Source organism: Homo sapiens, chromosome 2, assembly GCF_000001405.40.
Source record: "Homo sapiens chromosome 2, GRCh38.p14 Primary Assembly".
Lineage (NCBI taxonomy): Eukaryota > Metazoa > Chordata > Mammalia > Primates > Hominidae > Homo > Homo sapiens.
Window position 1 is genome coordinate 74,826,500 of NC_000002.12, and position 17,953 is coordinate 74,844,452.

At 48.9% G+C, this 17,953-nt stretch overlaps 1 protein-coding gene and 1 long non-coding RNA gene across 7 annotated transcripts in view, besides 7 other annotated features; one reads left to right on the top strand and one right to left on the bottom strand.

Annotated features, from left to right (window-relative positions):
• Positions 1-6,155: 6,155 nt before the first annotated feature.
• Positions 6,156-7,488, bottom strand: HK2-DT (HK2 divergent transcript). Its single transcript, NR_185897.1, has one exon. It is a non-coding gene; the product is annotated as an HK2 divergent transcript (long non-coding RNA).
• Positions 7,120-7,189: a silencer, noted in NCBI's record as "silent region_11673". NCBI's record gives its function as "represses an Ori minimal core promoter by ATAC-STARR-seq in GM12878 lymphoblastoid cells {active_cell/tissue: GM12878}" and the evidence as "EXISTENCE:reporter gene assay evidence [ECO:0000049][PMID:35858748]".
• Positions 7,370-7,599: a silencer, noted in NCBI's record as "silent region_11674". NCBI's record gives its function as "represses an Ori minimal core promoter by ATAC-STARR-seq in GM12878 lymphoblastoid cells {active_cell/tissue: GM12878}" and the evidence as "EXISTENCE:reporter gene assay evidence [ECO:0000049][PMID:35858748]".
• HK2 (hexokinase 2) overlaps positions 7,628-17,953 on the top strand; it is a 59,233-nt gene continuing 48,907 nt past the window's right edge. For 4 of the 6 annotated variants that reach the window (XM_005264280.3, NM_000189.5, XM_011532807.3 and 1 more), the window contains exon 1: positions 7,628-8,144. In XM_005264280.3, the coding sequence (XP_005264337.1) occupies positions 8,082-8,144 (63 nt within the window). In that variant the 5' untranslated portion in view covers positions 7,628-8,081. Of the gene's footprint in view, positions 8,145-8,670; positions 8,840-17,953 lie in introns of those variants that run through there. The other 2 variants (XM_047444084.1, NM_001371525.1) reach the window with 1 other exon arrangement.
• Positions 8,346-9,222: an enhancer, noted in NCBI's record as "H3K27ac hESC enhancer chr2:75061972-75062848 (GRCh37/hg19 assembly coordinates)". NCBI's record gives its function as "activates a minimal SCP1, AML or CMV promoter by ChIP-STARR-seq in naive and primed H9 embryonic stem cells {active_cell/tissue: H9 hESC(naive and primed)}" and the evidence as "EXISTENCE:reporter gene assay evidence [ECO:0000049][PMID:30033119]".
• Positions 8,520-8,769: a silencer, noted in NCBI's record as "silent region_11675". NCBI's record gives its function as "represses an Ori minimal core promoter by ATAC-STARR-seq in GM12878 lymphoblastoid cells {active_cell/tissue: GM12878}" and the evidence as "EXISTENCE:reporter gene assay evidence [ECO:0000049][PMID:35858748]".
• Positions 9,000-9,069: an enhancer, noted in NCBI's record as "active region_16082". NCBI's record gives its function as "activates an Ori minimal core promoter by ATAC-STARR-seq in GM12878 lymphoblastoid cells {active_cell/tissue: GM12878}" and the evidence as "EXISTENCE:reporter gene assay evidence [ECO:0000049][PMID:35858748]".
• Positions 10,382-10,897: an enhancer, noted in NCBI's record as "OCT4-NANOG hESC enhancer chr2:75064008-75064523 (GRCh37/hg19 assembly coordinates)". NCBI's record gives its function as "activates a minimal SCP1, AML or CMV promoter by ChIP-STARR-seq in naive and primed H9 embryonic stem cells {active_cell/tissue: H9 hESC(naive and primed)}" and the evidence as "EXISTENCE:reporter gene assay evidence [ECO:0000049][PMID:30033119]".
• Positions 10,708-10,865: a silencer, noted in NCBI's record as "fragment chr2:75064334-75064491 (GRCh37/hg19 assembly coordinates)". NCBI's record gives its function as "represses an EF-1alpha promoter that drives an FKBP-Casp9 reporter gene in an ReSE screen in phorbol 12-myristate 13-acetate-treated (for megakaryocytic differentiation) K562 erythroleukemia cells {active_cell/tissue: K562(+PMA)}" and the evidence as "EXISTENCE:reporter gene assay evidence [ECO:0000049][PMID:32094911]".

Genomic DNA, 17,953 nt, shown 5'->3' on the forward strand with positions numbered 1-17,953 from the left:
GGCACCCATCATTGCCTGTACCCAGGGCCAACCACTCACTCCCCTTGGTACAGCCTGTTCTAAAGAGCAGTCAAGGTTGAAAAGCGTTGTCTTGGAGTCTTCCAACTCTCTCCCACGTCTCTCCACACTCAATCACTTCATGTGTCCCGTTCAGGCTACCTCTTACATTTTCTTCACTTCTTTCCCCTCTTCTCTGTCCTTCTGCCATGAGTCTAGTAGAGGCCTCCAGCATCTTTTCTCAGGACTCTGGTTTCACTCTTTACTAATCTATCTTCCACATTGCTTCCAGCCCAGATACTATGTCTTTAAGCACTGATGGGATTCTATTACCTCCCATCCTTTCAGCTGAGCCCTGTCTACTTGCCCAGCATCCTTCCTGCCATTCCCCACGAAATTATCTCTCTAGACCAGAGCACTGCATTTCCATTTGGAACAAACCACTCTCCCATGTACCTGAGACTCCACATTTGCTAGTCTTGACACCTGGACTTTTTTTTCTTCTATTCTTTTGAGACAGAGTCTCCCTCTGTTGCCCAGGCTGGAATGCAGTGGCATGATCTCAGCTCACTGCAACTTCTGCCTCCTGGGCTCCAGCAATTCTCCTGCCTCAGCCTCCCGAGGAGCTGGGATTACAGGCACCCGCCACCATGCCCGGCTAATTTTTGTATTTTTAGTAGAGATGGGGCTTCACCATGTTGGCCAGGCTGGTCTTGAACTCCTGACCTCAAGTGATCCAGACACCTGGGCTTTTAATCACTGAGTTCTTATAGAATAGGGGACTGGATATTACAAGCAGTGTGTTTAGGAAACTAGATTCAGGATCTACTAGGTACCAGGCTCTGAACTAAAGATTTTGCCCATTCTACATCATGATGTCCACTGTGCTGATGCGGAAACTAGGGCTCAGAAAGGCCCAAGACCACAGTGTTTCCATGCCAGCCTCAGCATGCCACCATGCCCTTCTCATGCGGATTGTTGGAGGGGTATACCTATGGCTCTATGTCCATTAGGATGAGAAGATCAGGCATGACAGGCCTCACATTTGGGATGGCCTTGGATGGGACTCCCTGGCAACATTTCACAGTGGCCTTTTCCTTATCTTCTGTGACACTGACGGCATCTGTGGACAGGTGCTGGGTTACACCTTGTGTGTGGAGAGCATAAATAATCCAGCTCCGTGTCAATTGATTTATAGTCAGATTTCCTGGTGCTGATTTGCCTCCTGACTACTTTTCCCCTGAATTTAACTCCAATCCAGTACAGATGTCTTATTTTTTAATCTTTCTGATATATTTCAGATGTCATAAAGCCAGTTTGTCTAAGGGCATTTTAAACTTAGCACATTCAGTGACTGTTGCGAGTGGTGGAGGTTTGTCAGGCTTTGGGACTGGCCAGCCCCTTTGAACATCTTTCTTATGTTTTGGAACTTTTCTGCATTATGGCTCCTCACCCCCTGAGCCCACTTTCCCAGATTCTCTTGCAGCGAGGGCATGGGAATGTGATCCAAGCTCTGCCAACCAGCTGTAAAGTGCCAATTTGGAAATAAATACCATAAGATAGGAGGTGCCATGCAGAATTCCTTTTATCAAGGGTGCTGAGAGACAGATATTCAGCTGTCAAAGGTGGCTGTGGCACCTCCAGGCTAAATAGCATCCCATGTTCAGTGTCAGGAGTGTGGGCAGAGATGCCAGCCCAGTAGCCATAGCAATAGCATCTCCCCTGGCAGAGTTTAGTGGTATAACTCGAGCATCACTCTTGGCTCAGTTAGCCTCTGAGCCTGATCCTCTGGCCCTCCTGAAGAGCCTGCAAGGGACTTAAATATTCTTCAATAAACTCATTTTCTGTATAAATTAGCTTGAATGGGTTTTGTTTGCAACTGTGACAGATAAAGTGGGGTGTTGTGTATCTGTGTGGCTTCCACTTTTCTAACTGCTTTCCATTTTCTTTCTTTCCCAATCCCTCAAATACATACATTATAATTGAACTATAAAACATAGGGCACAGTATTAAATGTAATAGGATGCATAGACTCATGAGTATTTACATGCAGGGCAGGTCCACCCTCAGTCTTAAAATTTTCTACATAATACCATCGCTTATGATATGCTGCAAACTTGATAAATCCTAATTAGAAAAAGGAATATTTGGCAGTTGGAGGTCATTTGGCAAAGTGGTCTCTTCCCAGGATATAGCTCCCTGGAGCCTGATGGCTAGGCTAAGGTCAGTCATATGTGGAACCAGCACCAGCAGTAGCCTTGTGTTAAGATCAGGAAGCTGCATTTGCATCTGTCAGACCACCCTTGGCCAACTCTAGCCTGTGGCTCTGTCTCTTCCTCCTTCAGAACTCCACCATGTATAAAGACAGATACATATTTGGCTCTTAATGATAGGCTTTTCTATTCTGTAATATTTGTTTCATGTGTTCGTTTATATCTCTGACTAAACAGTTAATCCCTCAGGTGCAAGACCCACATTTTGTGTTTCTTTTTGTATTTCACTTTGAGGAGAGTGTCCTGAACACTGTAAGGGTTTACTAATCTTTGCTGATTGATTTCCTTCCTAGGGCTGTGGAATATAAATTACATGACCATCTGTCTCTTCAATTTTCAACATCTCTGTGTGTGCATGTGTGTACATGTGCACGTATGTATAAGAGAGATCTGAGATTCAATAAATAATAAACTTGAGGAATGGAGTTCAGAGGCAGAAGAACCACAGAAACAAGTCAGCCTTATGTGGGTAGCCTCCCCTCCGTTTGTTGTGTATCAATTGGGGTTAATAACAATTTTTTTTTTTTGAGACCTGTCTCGCTCTGTCCCCTAGGCTGAAGTGCAGTGGCATGATCTCTGCTCACTGCAAGCTCCGCCTCCCGGGTTCACGCCATTCTCCGGCCTCAGCCTCCTGAGTAGCTGTGACTACAGGCGCCCACCACCATACCCGGCTATTTTTTCTGTATTTTTAGTAGAGATGGGGTTTCACCGTGTTAGCCAGGATGGTCTCGATCTCCTGATCTCATGATCCGCCCACCTCGGCCTCTCAAAGTGCTGGGATTACAGGCATGAGCCACTGTGCCTGGCCTATAACAATACTGATTCCAACCACCTCCCAGGATTACTGGGAACTTTGTAAGAGATAACATGTACTTAAAGTTCCTTATGATTATTATCCGGTTCACATGAAATGGGACCACAGAGGGGAGTGGAGAAGAGGCATTAAAACTAGTGTGTGAAGAAAGTATCATAGCTGACCCAACCCCACTGGCTTTGGTTCTACCTGCCTGGAGACAATACATTTTGTAGCACCAGGCTATTGAATTTCCATCCGATTCTAGGCAGCAGGCATCCTCCTCTTCATTTTCCTTCACCCACCCCAGCCAAATCCATCAGTTCCACCTCTGACTTCACAATACCTAAACCCATAACCTTCCTCCCTGCCCCACTCTCATCTTGGCTTAGGTCCTAGTCTTACCTTATAGCTTCTGCCTCTTTCTGCCTTTGGTCTCTGACCTCTTTCCCTCCCCATCCACATGGAGGGCAGTTATGGCCCTAAAAAAGCAAACGCGATTGTATAATTTCCTGCTTTGAGAATCTTGGGGCCAGGTGTGGTGCCTCATGTCTATAATCCCAGCACTTTGGGAAGCTGAGATGGGCGATCACTTGAGGTTAGGAGTTTGAGACCAGCCTGGCCAACATGTCAAAACCCTGTCTCTACTAAAAATATAAAAATTAGCTGGACATGGTGGTGAGTGCCTATAATTTCAGCTATTTGGGAGGCTGAGGCAGGAGAATCGCTTGAACCCAGGAGGCGGAGGTGGCAGTGAGCCGAGATTGTGCCACTGCACCCCAGCCTGGGCGATAGAGCAAGACCCTATCTAAAAAAAACAAAAAACAAACAACAAACAAACAAAGAATCTTTGTTAAATATCTAAGTCTATATATTTATGGTGTCTATATCTGAAGAGGGAAGCCCAGTTATGAGGCTGTTCCAGTCAGGTGAGAGATAACTGGGCATATGATCTAGGGTAGACAGAGAAATGGGAAAAGATTTGGGAAATAATATATAAAACTATAAACTCTATGTGTGTGTGTATTGTTACACAACATGTGAACAGTAGTCATCTCTAAGATTCTTCTATGAATTCATTCAATAAATGTTTATTGCATGTCTGCCATGCGTCAGGCACCATTTTAGGCACTGCAAACTTGAAGGAATGACAGACACAGACCCTGCTGTCTTTTAGCTTATCATCTATTGAGGAGAGGAAGAACATAGCGAAAATAAATAGGAAATCAACTAGGGCCAAGTGATAGTGACTTGGGGAACTATTTGAGATAAACTGGTCAAGGAAAGCCTGATGAGGTAGAAGGTGGGGACTTGACTCTGGAGGTGGGGGCTAAGACTCGGGACCAGACTCTAGATTAGAGTTCCAGATTTAACACCTAGAAGTCACTGCCCCTTTCCATGGCAATGACTCAACAACCCGTTACCAACCTTTTTCTAGAAATTTCTGTATAACCTGCCCCTTAATTTGCATGTTAACTAAAAGTGGGTAGAAATATGAGTGCAGAGCTGCCTCTGAGCTGCTACTCTGGGCACACGGCCTTATGGGGTAGCCCTGCTCTGCAAAGACCAGTGCCTCTGCTCCTGATGTACACTGCCACTTCAATATAAGCTGCTGTCTAATGCCACCTGCTTGCCCTTGAATTTTTTTTTTTTTTTGAAATGGAGTCTCTTTCTGTTGCCCAGGCTGGAGTGCAGTGGCGCGATCTCGGCTCACTGCAAGCTCCGCCTCCCGGGTTCACGCCATTCTCCTGCCTCAGCCTCCCGAGTAGCTGGGACTACAGGAGCCCGCCACCACGCCTAATTTTTTGTATTTTTTTTTTTTTTAGTAGAGATGGGGTTTCACCGTGTTAGCTAGGATGGTCTCGATCTCCTGACCTCGTGATCCGTCCACCTCAGCCTCCCAAAGTGCTGGGATTACAGGTGTGAGCCACCGCGCCCGGCATCCCTTGAATTCTTTACTGGGTGAAGCCAAAAATCTTCCCAGGCTAAGTCCAAATTTTGGGGCCTGCCTGCCCTGCATCATGAGGAGGTATCTGAGTGGAACGTCAATGAGGAGGAAGAATGAGTTGGAGACAGGCCTGGAGAAGAATATTCTAGATAGAAGGAAAAGGAAGAGCAAAGACCCTTGGGTGAGAAAGAGTTTGTATTTTTGAGGAAAGCATGCTAGTGTGAATGCCAAGCAGTATTCTGTGGGAAGATCTCAGGAGGTGTCTAAGGGCATGGAGATAAGTGGTCAGATGCACGGTCTGTTTTATAGGTGGAATTAACTGCTTGCTGATGGATTGACTGGCTGTGAGGGTGAGTGGCAAGAAGGAATCGAAGACGAGTTAGGGTGGATGGCGATGCCATTTGCTGAGACAACTGGGAAAGAAAAAGATTTGGGAAAAAAAGTTGAGTTCAGCTTTGGACATGTTAAGTGTGATATGCTAGTCACTTCAGTGGAGATGACAAATGGCAAGCTGGAGAAATAAGCCTGCAACTCCAGGAGAGGACCTCGCTGTAGATTTACTATGGTGAGTCATCAGCATGCATATGATATAACAGTCATGGGGCTAGGAAGTTAGTTTCTCCTCAGGGAGTTTGAAACTGTAACTAGTTCAGAGAAGAGGGTGGAGGGCAGCCCCGAATACCCCAGCATTTACCAATAGAGCAAACAGGGACTCAGGAGCCTGGGGAGTGAGGTTAGCCAGAAACCCTCAGAGTGGAGCACTGGTGCTCTTACTGAGAGAGGAAGGTGTGTCCAGATGGAGGATGTGATTAACTGTCCTCAACATCCCTGAGAGAAGGAGTAAGACAAGGGCAGGGAAGAGAAGAGAATGCAAGATTTGGCAACATGTAGGTCATTATGATGACTATGACAAAAGCAGTTTGAGCTCAATTCTGTGTGGAGTATAGGGAAGGAGGGTTGAGGACGTGCATTTAGAAGGGTACATAGTTCTCAAGAAGTTTTGCTGAGCACATCTGTAATCCCAGCTATTTGGGACGCTGAAGTGGGAGGACTGCTTGAGCCCAGGAGTTCAAGACCAGCCTGGGCAACATATCGAGTCCCTGCTTTAAAAAAAAAAAAAAGGAAGTTTTGCTGAGAGGCTAGATGGATTATGATTTTTGTTTATTTTTCCTGTTTATCCATATATTATTTTTCAACAATGAGTATTGATTACTTATATAATAATTTTAAGGCTGTACACATTGCAGACAGCACCCCACTGTTTGAAAAACTCCTCCTCAGTAGAACATGGCAGACCTTCATCTTCCTTCCCTGAACCTTTTCCAACCTTAGGCTTGCCATTCTCCACCAGTGCTAATGTCATGTCTCTTGAAATCTGTATTGAAGTCAGTATTTCATTCTTGCCAGTTTCCACTGTGTGTTTAAATTTGGAGTCTGGTGTCTAGCATTAGCTGGGGTTGGAGCTTCCACTCCTCTCAGCATTGGTAAGCCTCCTCACCCACCCCATCCCATGTCCAAGATCACCCAGTTACACACTTACCATCTACCCAGTTCATTCACATCATCAGTCCCAGAGCTGCAGAGATGCTCTTTTTCTACCTCCTACTTCTCTGGCTCTTAGAGAGGCAGCATGGGATAATGGGGCAAGCGAATAGGGCCTTAAAGTAGAGGGACAAGGGTTCTCTTCCCTATCTGCCACTTATTAGCTATGTGACCTCGTGTAAGTCTCTTTTCTTTTTGAGACAGGGTCTCCCTCTGTCACCTAGGCTGGAGTACAGTGGTATGATCATAGCTCACTGCAGCCTCGAACTCCTGGGCTCAAGCTATCCTTCCACCTTAGCCTTCTGAGCAGCAGGGACTACAGGCACATGCCACCATGTCCGGCTGATTTATTTATTTTTATTTGGGAAGATGGGGGTCTCACTATGTCGCCCAGGCTGGTCATGAACTCCTGGTCTCAAGCAACCCTCCAACCTTGGACTCCCAAAGTGCTGGGATTACAGGTGTGAGCCCTGGCCTTGCCTCAATTTCCTCATCTGTAAAACGGGGTTAGTGAAACTCACATCCTATCAGTGGTTTTGAGGATGGGCCGACTCTTGTATTGCCTGCTCTAGTACAATCAGCAGCTAAGGCGGCTCACTTTCCGGCCGTGCTACAATAGGTAAGAACTAGGATGCTTTAGACGTGTGACTGGGCAGTGGGAGCCCCTCACATGATCCCGAGATGCCAGACAGTGTCTCTCCGCACAGGGCGTGTGCTGGTCCAGAGGCCCGTTTTTCCAGTCGCCCCACACCCCGGGTCCGCGATCACGCTCCCCCCACCCATAGCCGAGCCTGACGCGGCGGTGGCTCATGCGCCTTTCCGTCCCAGCCTTTAGCCACGGACCACACGTCCCATCTCAGGCGCCCCGCCCCTCCCCCGCCCCCCGCCCCCGGCGCGCCTCCCCAGGCTGCCGGCTCCGGTGTCTGAGCGGCCGCGCCCGCGAGCCGTGAGCGATGATTGGCTGCGCCACGGCGGCGGGCGGTCCGTGGGCGCACACACCCTCCCCGCGCAGCCAATGGGCGTGCGCACGTCACTGATCCGGAGGCCCGCGGGCCGGCAGCCCCTCAATAAGCCACATTGTTGCATGAAACTCCGGCGCAGGAGTCCCGGGCTGCCGCTGGCAACATCGTGTCACCCAGCTAAGAAAATCCGCGGGCCCGAGCCACGCGCCTGTGAATCGGAGAGGTCCCACTGCCCGAGTGGAGCCGGGCTGAGATTCTTCTCAAGTTGAGCCTCAGTGATCCTGTGGCCGAAGTTAGCGCCTTGACGTGGGACAACCGGACACGTCGCCAGGAGAGAACTGAGGCGCCTTCTAGCAGTTGTGACGCCAAAATCACGTCTCCGGAGACCCGCGCCCTCCGCCAGCCGGGCGCACCCTCGCCGGTAGCCTTCTTTGTGCGCCGTCCGGACTCCCAGCTCCCGGCCCGGCAGCCGAGCCCCAGCACAAAGCAGTCGGACCGCGCCGCCCGCCTCCCCTCTCGCGTCTCCGCCTCGGTTTCCCAACTCTGCGCCGTCGGGCCGCGGCAGGATGATTGCCTCGCATCTGCTTGCCTACTTCTTCACGGAGCTCAACCATGACCAAGTGCAGAAGGTAAGTCAGCGCGGGCGGGGCGGCAGGCTGGGCTCTGGCAAAGTGGTCTGGCCTCCATCAGTCTCTTCCTCGACCCTGCGGGGACCCGCTTCCTCCCTACTCCGGGCCTGGGAGCGGAAAAAGTTTGGGCAGCCGGGACACTCCTGGGCGCCAGGAGCCACGTCCGCTAAGCACAGCCGGCGAGTGCGCGCGGGCGGGGAGCCGAGGTCGCGCTCCGCCGGGCGCCCTCCCTCCCTGAGCTCCGGCACGCGCTCACGCTCTCTCCCCCAGTCCCTTTTTCCCTGTTACTGGAGGGGCGGGTCACCCCGCAGGTAGTCAGGGATTGCTGCGCCCACGTGGGAGGGAGCCCCCTTCTGCAGCGCGAGTTCCGGCGAGAGCACGTGGAGAGAATCGTGGCTGCGGGAGGCTGCTCCGCTGCCGCGTGGGGCCGCCGGGGGCCGTCCGCGCTCGCGGACCGCGTGTAGGAGACGAGCGGTTCCCTTCTCCTTCCCCGCGGCCCTGCGGGGGTGGGCTCGAGGAGAAGCTGACCCGGGAAGGAGTAGGAAAGGGGCAGAGGAACTCCGCCCGCCGCGCCCCCTCCCCGGAACTGTGGCGCCCGGAACTGAGGCTCGGCGAGGGGCGTCCCCCATTAACCCCCGCCCCTCCAAATCAGCCTCGGGACCGCCCAGCCTCGTGTCCTCAGGATCTGCCTCTGAGTAAGGGGAGGACTTTGGTTGTTACTTTCTGGTTTGCCCTAAAAGTTACTCGGAGAGGCCAACGCGCCGCGTTCCTGGATTACTTGAGATTCTTGAGATTTATGTCCTTCCGAAAACGAGCTTTTTTTTCCTTAAGCCTCGACCTGTCTGTTCCCACCTGGCTCCGCAGCTCCCTATGGCTGAGCGCTCACCGCGGCCGGGTCATTTACATAAGAAAGAGCCTCAGGCCAAGCCGGGAAGCTCTCATTCCCCGCCTCGGGGTATGGGGGTGGGGATGGGGCCGGGGCCGGGGACGGGCAGGGCCAGGGGCGCGCTCAGAATTGAGTTTCTGAAATGCCCGGGATTAGGGGATTGGCTCCTGGCCCGGGCCTGGGCTACGATTTGAGGTAGGGGACAAGTTGGGAGGGGATTAGCTGGAGGGAGGTTGTTTTAAGAGCTGTGAGGCAACGGAGCGTTGCTCAGTTACATACTTGGAATTTCAATATCTGATGGGAACACATTTTTGGGAAAATGTCTTGCCATTACCGTTCTGTGCGACAACCTGCTCATATTCCCATTCTGGCGGTCCCGAGGGCATAGGAGGCATATTAATGTAGTGATGGCGCGTGAACCTCCAAGAAAAGCAGAAGTTACCCAGCCTCAAGTCTGGAGGAGCGAGCAGAGGCGGTTGATTTACTTGGGTTTTACTGTTTGTAAATGGCTGTTATTCTCTAATTCCTGGGATGTGGCTCTGCACCTTGATTCAGTTTACTTAAAAACGTGCCTTTGATTTGAGCTGGCAGGATCTTGGTAACTTCTCAACTTCTAAGAACTCTTGGGGAAGGCTATCATCTCTTGGCAAGTCCTAAAATACACAGTGGAGCGTCATTAATCTCAGGGAGTTCTCCTTTGGGTATTACCCCAGGACATTTGAATCCTTGCATAAATTTACTCTTCCTCAATCCAGAGGAGGGCACCAGGGTTGGAACCCCGTTGGAGTTATACCACTCTCAATCTTGGAATGGGGGTCATCTCTCTTCCCCCAGAGTGGAACGGGAATTAACCAGGGTATCTGGAAATGAGTTGTAATCTCTGTCTTGTGGTTTATTAACCATAGCACCCTGAGCCTCTTTGGACAGCCCGTTTCTCTTTGTGAAATGCAATAATAACAGTAGGCTTGTCCACTTTATGGAGTTGCGATTATTAAGCGCTGCAGTGTGCAACTGTCATTCCTGTAGGTTTTCTCTACCCTTGCAGCCACCTGTCAGTTTGAGAAGTGTCCCTGAAGACCCTTGGGTGTATTTCCTCTAAACTACCAATAGGGGCAGAATTGAATCAGGCCTTTAACTCAGTAATTGTCAGAACCTGGGATTTGACTCCCAGCTTAGGTGAGCGAAGCTGTTTGATTCCAGTGGCAGTTACATAGAAAGCAGAGACTCAGAGTATCTTGGAACCATCTTTCTGAGCTGCCATTGGAAAGAAGAATTAAGAGAGAAGAATGAAAATTTAGTATAACTTTAGAGTCTTTTGAAAAGACCTTTTGATTTGGACCCTTCTGAAATCCCCTTGTGATAAGATAATCTTACATATTCTGGGTTGTAGTCTGAGGACGTGGAAGGCTTGGGTTCACCTGCCCAACGAGGTCACTTGTCGTCTCCTGATGGACAAGCCCAGTGTTTTGGGGCATTAGAGATGAGAATCAGGGTTATTTCCTCACTTTTGCCAATTGGAACTCAGGAGCGACTGCAGAGCACCTACTGTGTACCTGGCACTGTTCTAAGCTCTTAGGTATGTCAGCTTATTAACATTCAAATCAGCCCCATGAGGTGAAGACTGATTGTTATTAGCATCCCTGTTTAACTGAGGCCCAGGGGTAACTTGCCCAAGGTCTCCAGCTTTTCTGTACGAGCTGGGAATCGAAGCCATGCATTTGGCTTTAGAGCACCATGCTCTTGAGCACATACTTGCCTGTCTCTGGGGAATGTGAGCGGGCTCCTGGCCCGGGCCTCTGCCCACTCCTGGCTGCTGGTAGCACCCCCACCCATCATGACCACAGATGGAACTAGCTCTTCTGTTGGTTTGATCAGTGGCACCAGTACCCTCTGGCTACTCCAGCTGAGAGTCCTGGATTCATTTTCATCAACTCTCTAACTCTGTCAACTGGTCTCTTGGTTACTTTGGAGGCCTGCTAAGGGTGTCCCTAAAACTCTTTCTGGAGCCAGACTGGATCATTTCAGGAGCTCTCTACAGCTCTTAATTGCCTCCCGCTTCTACCCCCCAGCTTAGCCTCATCTTCCTCTCCATCCTTTCATTCCTCTGTCCTGCCTGTTCACACTAGGTCCTTTTGCCCTTGTCTTTTTTTTTTTTTTTTTTTTTTGAGACACAGTTTCACTCTGTCACCAGGCTGGAGTGCAGTGGCGCTATCTCTGCTTAGTGCAACCTCTGCCTCCCAGGTTCAAGCGATTCTCCTGCCTCAGCCTCCTGAGTAGTTGGGATTACAGGCGTGCGCCACCATGCCCAGCTATTTTTTGTATTTTTAGTAGAGACAGGGTTTCACCATGTTGGCCAGGATGGTCTCGATCTCCTTACCTTGTGATCCACCTGCCTCAGCCTCCCGTAGTGTTGGGATTACAGGCGTGAGCCACCGCACGAGGCCTGCCCTTGCCATTTTTGTGGCCCTGAACTCTGCTTGGCTTCTTTCCACTTAACCCCTTCCAGCTCAAATGCAGTTTACTGTCTTAATTTTCTTTCTGCTTCCTTCTCCCCCTCCTGTGTGCCAACATTAGTGTGTTTGAACCTTGCATGACATTTGTTTCATTCCACCATCTGTTAGAGTTGATGGTTTTCAGTTTGGGTTCCTTCCTCAGGGCAGGGAGAATCTTGGCTGTTAGGTTTGTCGCTGCAGTTCCTGGCCACTGGTGAGGTGCTCAGTGAGTACAAGAGTAAAGGAGGAGACCTTTCTGGAGAAAGAAGCTAAACCAGGGCTGCAGGAAGTGGAGGAGCTGGGCAGGGCCAGCTAGTCTTAGGCTAAAGGGATGGTATATGGGTGGACACTTGGAGGGGTAGTTCGCAGTTATCTCTTCATCCAAAGCATGACCTGAGGCCAAAGCATGACCTGAGGCCGGTCCTGAGGAGGGAGAGAGAAAGGGAGGAGAGTTTCCTGTCCTTCAGCAATCAAGACTGTGTGTCCTGCCTATGGAGAGATGGAAGATTCTTTCTATTTTTTTTTTTTTTTTTTTGAGACGGAGTCTCGCTCTGTCGCCCAGGCTGGAGTGCAGTGGCGCAATCTCAGCTCACTGCAAACTCCACCTCCCGGGTTCACGCCATTCTCCTGCCTCAGCCTCCCGAGTAGCTGGGACTACAGGCGCCTGCCACCATGCCCGGGTATTTTTTTGTATTTTTAGTAGAGACGAGGTTTCACCGTGTTATCCAGGATGGTCTCAATCTCCTGACCTCGTGATCTGCCTGACTCCGCCTCCCAAAGTGGTGGGATTACAGGAGTGAGCCACCGCGCCTGGCTGATTCTTTCTATTGATTGAGATAAGTTAGTATACAAGATGCAGGATTTTGTCATTTAAGAATGGAGAATCAGGGTTAACCATAGAGATAAAATGAAGTATATACTCCTTTCTCTGACCATTGACCAAATTGTTTTAATACGCATAGACTGGTGACATTTGCACTGGAATCCTGTAATAGACATAGCTCATGTAGATTCCTTGTTGTATGAGCAAGGGGTGACCTTCAATGCTGGGCTTGAGAGGAATATCTTGGAAGCGAAAAGATTGAACAGAGACCCCAAGAGTCAAGAAAGCCAAGAATTTTAATGTTTTTTTAAGAACCTACAGTGAGTGCAAGGCCCTCTGAGTGTGATATGGGAGACAGAAACCCAGATACTTTTCAGTTGTCTAGAGAGATATGGCTGCTAGGTCAAAAGAGTGAATTACCATGGGTGGGGCTGGAGTTAGAGCCTCAAGGAACCTTGGCACATTTTGGACACCTACCACGTGCCATTAGTCCGCACGTATGGGATTAGAGTATCAAGAGTAAATTGCTGATTGAAACCTTAATAATATTATTTTTGTCTATGTTAATTTTGATTGGACAAACTGACATTGACAGGTACAATTCACTCCATTTGTTCAATATGTAACATCTTGGTAACCTAACTCTGTCCCTTTCTCTGCTCAGAAGACAACTGATGGTAGTTAGGAATACTTTGTAGCTTTTGTTAACCATCCGTTTGTTTTATATTGCCAAACTTACATTTCAGAGAGAGCTAAGAAGCACTTTTTCCTCTACCTTTGAATGAATTAACTCCCCTGAGCTCAGCCAAAGTCAATTTTTTTTTTTTTTTGTGAGACAGAGTTTCGCTCTGTCACCAGGCTGGAGTGCAGTGGCACAATCTTGGCTCACTGCAACCTCCACCTCCTGGGTTCAAGTGATTCTCCTACCTCAGTCTCCCAAGTAGCTGGGACTACAGGTGCGCACCACCATGCCCAGCTAATTTTTTTTTAGTAGAGATGGGGTTTCACCATGTTGACCAGGATGGTCTCGATCTCTTGACCTCGTGATCTGCCCACTTTGGCCTCCCAAAGTGCTGGGATTACAGGCGTGAGCCACTGCGCCTGGCCTTTTTTTTTTTTTTTTTTTTTTGAGATGGAGTCTCACTCTGTCGCCCAGGCTGGAGTACAGTGGCGTGATCTCAGCTCACTGCAACCTCGGCCTCCTGGGTTCCTGCCGTTCGCCTGCCTCAGCCTCCCGAGTAGCTGGGACTACAGGCGCCCACCACCATGTCCGGTTAATTTTTTTATATCTTTAGTAGAGATGGGGTTTTTCACTGTGTTAGCCAGGATGGTCTTATCTCCTGACCTCATGATCCACCTGCCTAGGCCTCCCAAAGTACTGGGATTACTTTGGCGTGAGCCACCGCGCCAGGCATTTTTTTTTTTTTTTTAAACATCACTTTTCAAAGTTGAACTTTTCCAGTACTCTGGGGAGTTTGGGGCAATTGGAGGTCCTTTTCCAAGGGGGGAATCAGAGCAACACAAACCACAGTTGGCAATGGGAGTAAGGAGATCTGATGAACTGAAAGAACTTGGAGCCCCAGAAAACTGGCTTCCTTTGTTCAGATACTTCCGGTTTAAAAGACCACATCTTGATAAGACGTTCCTCATTATCATCGTTGAGCTTTGAAGTCAGCAGGTTTGGTTTGTTTTCCAACACTGTACGTAGTCTGTCTTTGCCTTTTCAAAGCTGTGGGGGTTATGCCGGGCGCGGTGGCTCACGCCTGTAATCCCAGCACTTTGAGAGGCCAAGGCGGGCGGATCACGAGGTCAGGATATCAAGACCATCCTGGCTAACACGGTGAAACCCCGTCTCTACTAAAAATACAAAAAAAAAAAAAAAAAATTAGCCGGGCGTGGTGGCAGGCACCTGTAGTCCCAGCTACTTGGGAGGCTGAGGCAGGAGAATCAGTTGAGCCCGGGAGGTGGAGCTTGCAGTGAGCTGAGATCGCACCAATGCACTCCAGCCTGGGCGACAGAGCAAGACTCTGTCTCAAAAAAAAAAAAAAAAAAAAAAAAAAGCTGTGGGGGTTGGGATGTGGCAAATTAAATCCCCATAGCTCACTGGACACGTCTTCATATCACACTCTGTGGATCACACACCATGCTTCCTTGTGCTGGAGTGGCTCTTTCTGCTTATCTTTAAAGCAGTTTTCTCAGCCTTGGTGCTATTGACATTTTGGGACAGATACGTTTTTTGTGAGGGGCTATCCCAGCCTATCATAAAGAGCAAGAATTTCCACCTTACTCAAATTTCCAGAGACAAAGCCTATCTTTTTAAAATTCTTCATTTAGAGCAGTAGTTTTCAAGTAGGAGTGATTTTATACCCCAGTGGACTTTGGCAATGTCTGGAGACATTTTTGGTTGTCACAAAGGTTTGGGTGAGTGTGTGTTACTGACATCTAGTAAGCAGAGGCAGGTTTGGGTGAGTGTGTGTTACTGATATCTAGTAAGCAGAGGCTAGGAATGTTGCTGAATATTCCACCATGCACAAGATAGCTCCCCACAACAAAAAATTACCTGGCCCAAAATGTCTACAGTGTCAAATTTGAGAAACTGCTTTAGAAGAACATGGTCCATCCCTGCCACCCCCTTCAGTTTTCAGGTGTATTGCTGATGGTCATACAGCAAGTTAGTAGCCCTAGTTGGGATCAGAGCCCTGAGTTGTCAACAGTGTGCCATGTCTTGTGACCGTCATGGTGGGAAATGGGCTTCTACAAAAGACGAACTTAAGATGAGGTCTACAGTTCACAGCAGTCTGCAGATGCCCACAGTTCCTTGCTGGGGGGCAGGTTTCCAGGGAACGGGAGCTAGTTGCTGTTTCTGTATTCTCAACCAGAGAAATGTGGGCAATACAAGTGCTCCAGAAAGCCAGCAAGAGGAGTTTAGTCAGTTGCCCTTGGAAGATGCTCACCCTGGTGCTGCTGTAGTTTCCATGGAGGCTGGGCATGAGCCAGGCTTCCCAACAAGACAGGCATGTGAGCTGGTGTAATGGAAATTCAGAAGGCACTTGAGCTGGGGAGCAGAGGAGGTAGGCCAGTGACATCCACTGAGGGACAGCCTGACAGTTACTGGGAGAGGCTGTTTGATGAGCTGGAGTCAGGCTCCCTGGGGTTGAACTCTGGCTTTCTGCATAACACGCAGTGTGAGCTTGGGTCAGTTACTCTACCTGTCTAGGCCTCAGTTTCTTTTCCCTATAAAATGCAAAGATTGTTTGGATAACACTTTAATTGAGTAGTTGTAAGAATGAAAGAGAAAGAGGGTTAACAGGTGTCAAGCTCTGAGAACTGTGCCTGACATATAGTCAATGCTTTATGTATTAAGTATTGGTACTTAACAATGGTTCAACTTGATTTTTTTTTGACTTCACAATGGCACAAAAGTGATACGCATTCAGTAGAACCTGTACTTTCAGTATTTATATAACCATTATGTTTTGCACTTTCAGTACAGTATTCAATAAATTACATGAGATATTCAACACTTTATTGTAAAATAGGCTTTGTGTTCGATGGTAGGTTAGGTGTACGAAATGCATTTTTGACTTACTAATCGGGACATAACCTCATTGTAAGTCGGAGCATCTGTACATAGGGAGAGACACAGTCTTAGATGTCCCACTGCACCGTCCGCCTGGACAGGAGCAAAAAGAGGCCCTGCTTTACCCTGGATAACTCCCAAGAGCTTCTTTTAGAGTAAGTGGTTTCAGGTCCATTTGTGTCTCTGTGTGACGTTGGATTGAATCAGAGGACAGAGAAGTCAGAAGGATGGAAAGTTCCTGAAGCCAGGGAAGAAGGATGCGTCCACCGTGCTTCTAAAACCTTCTCTTTCCTGGGCGTAGGAGATCCATCCTTAAGCTCTTCCTCTAAATTGCTTTTCTTCTGGTCCTCTACAGAGGTGGCTCCCCCATTCGAGGTCTCTGGGATGCCTGGGACATTAGTGCACTTCAGGTTGAAGCATCCTTGCGATGTCGCAGGAGACACAGTTGTGCTGAATGATCACAGGGTTAGTTCCAGCTCCTTTTCCCTAACCTCTGTCTCCCCGGTAACTAACCCAGAGAAGAGCAGAGGCTTCAGAGGGCATTGTGGAGGCTGCTTACTTGGGATTTCATATTCTTCTGCTGTGGAGTTTGTCAGTTAAATACTTGCTCACTCATCCTCACATCTCTCCCAGACCTGGCTTTCCACAGGGGAAATCATTTGCAGTGCCCTGTGCTGAAGAGTCACAGGACCCGCCATGATAGGTTTGGCCCCACCGACCCCTGGAATTTCACAGAAGGGAATGGCCATTCTCACATTCTTTCGGCAGATTGGGTGAGGTTCCCTGGGCATCCTGGGATTTGGCAGTCAGCTCTTTGCCCCTCATATACAGACCCTGGGCTGTTGAGTGTGTTCCTTCCTGCTGAGCCCAGGGTGCCCTGGGTTCTTCACGAAGCCCAGGGGGATTCTGCATGTGCAACCCATACCCTCCATCCCACCTCTTGAACAGCCGTTGCCTTATCCACGTCAGGAGTCAGGAGTCTTGGCCCTGTTCCTGTGAACAGAGAATCTCATTTCCCCTAAAATGCTGCCCTCTTTTAGGGGTGGTCACTCATTTTGTTTGCAGATGGATCTCTAAGCATTTCCCGGACATTCTTTCCTGCCTTGGTTAAATCTTATCTCAGCGTTAACCAGGAGAGTGAGTCAGGCTCTGAGAAACTGGCTCTGGAAGCCCTTGGGGCCCACCCACCTCCTGCCCACTCAGCCTTCCTGCCTTTCCACCATTTCTGCCCTGGATGCTTGGAGGTGGTCCATGTTCTTAAAAGGCCTTTTTCCCAATCCCTTCCTTCTGGCATCTCCATATTGTCTGAAGGAATAAAGCCAGATGAACCATCTGACAGCTTTAATTAGGGTTAAATGAGGGCATTCGAAACTGCCACTTTTCCTTCTTTCCCATTTGAGGGACTTCCTCTTCCTGCTTCCTGTTTCCTCCCAAACTTTTCTGTCTCAGTCCCCTCCATGAAGTCCTGTAGCCTCTTCCCATCAGCTCTGTGTGTAGTAACTCAGGCCACCCTCAAGCTGCCCTCCAGGTAGGTCCTGTTATTATCTATTATTCAAATGAAGAGACCAGGCACAAAATAGGATAGTACCTTGCCCCAGGGCAAGCCAGAATCCAGACCCAGGCAATGTGACTCCAGAGCCAGTGCCCTTAACCCCCAGCACAAAGCTGCTGGGACAACTATGTTTCAGTTTCACTTATGTTTCAGTTTCATGGGGTTATGAGTCAGGTATCAGCTGGGAAGGGACCTTTGGGACCATGTAGTCTAAACAAACCCTTCATTTTACAGTTAAGGAAACCAGATGTTGTGTACTAAGGGACCAGCCCAAGCTCACATAGGATAAGCCCCAGATCTGGAACCCAGTTTCTTGATCCCCATCATGTTTTTTTAAAACACAGTTTGTGCAGCATGAACTCTTATCATTTTAGGTGTCAGTTTCCCAAGATCAAAGGCAGGATTTACTTAGCTGTATCTAGGGGGATGCCCTAATTGTCCAAACTGGGCCGCTTTTGAAAATGGAGGAAAGCACT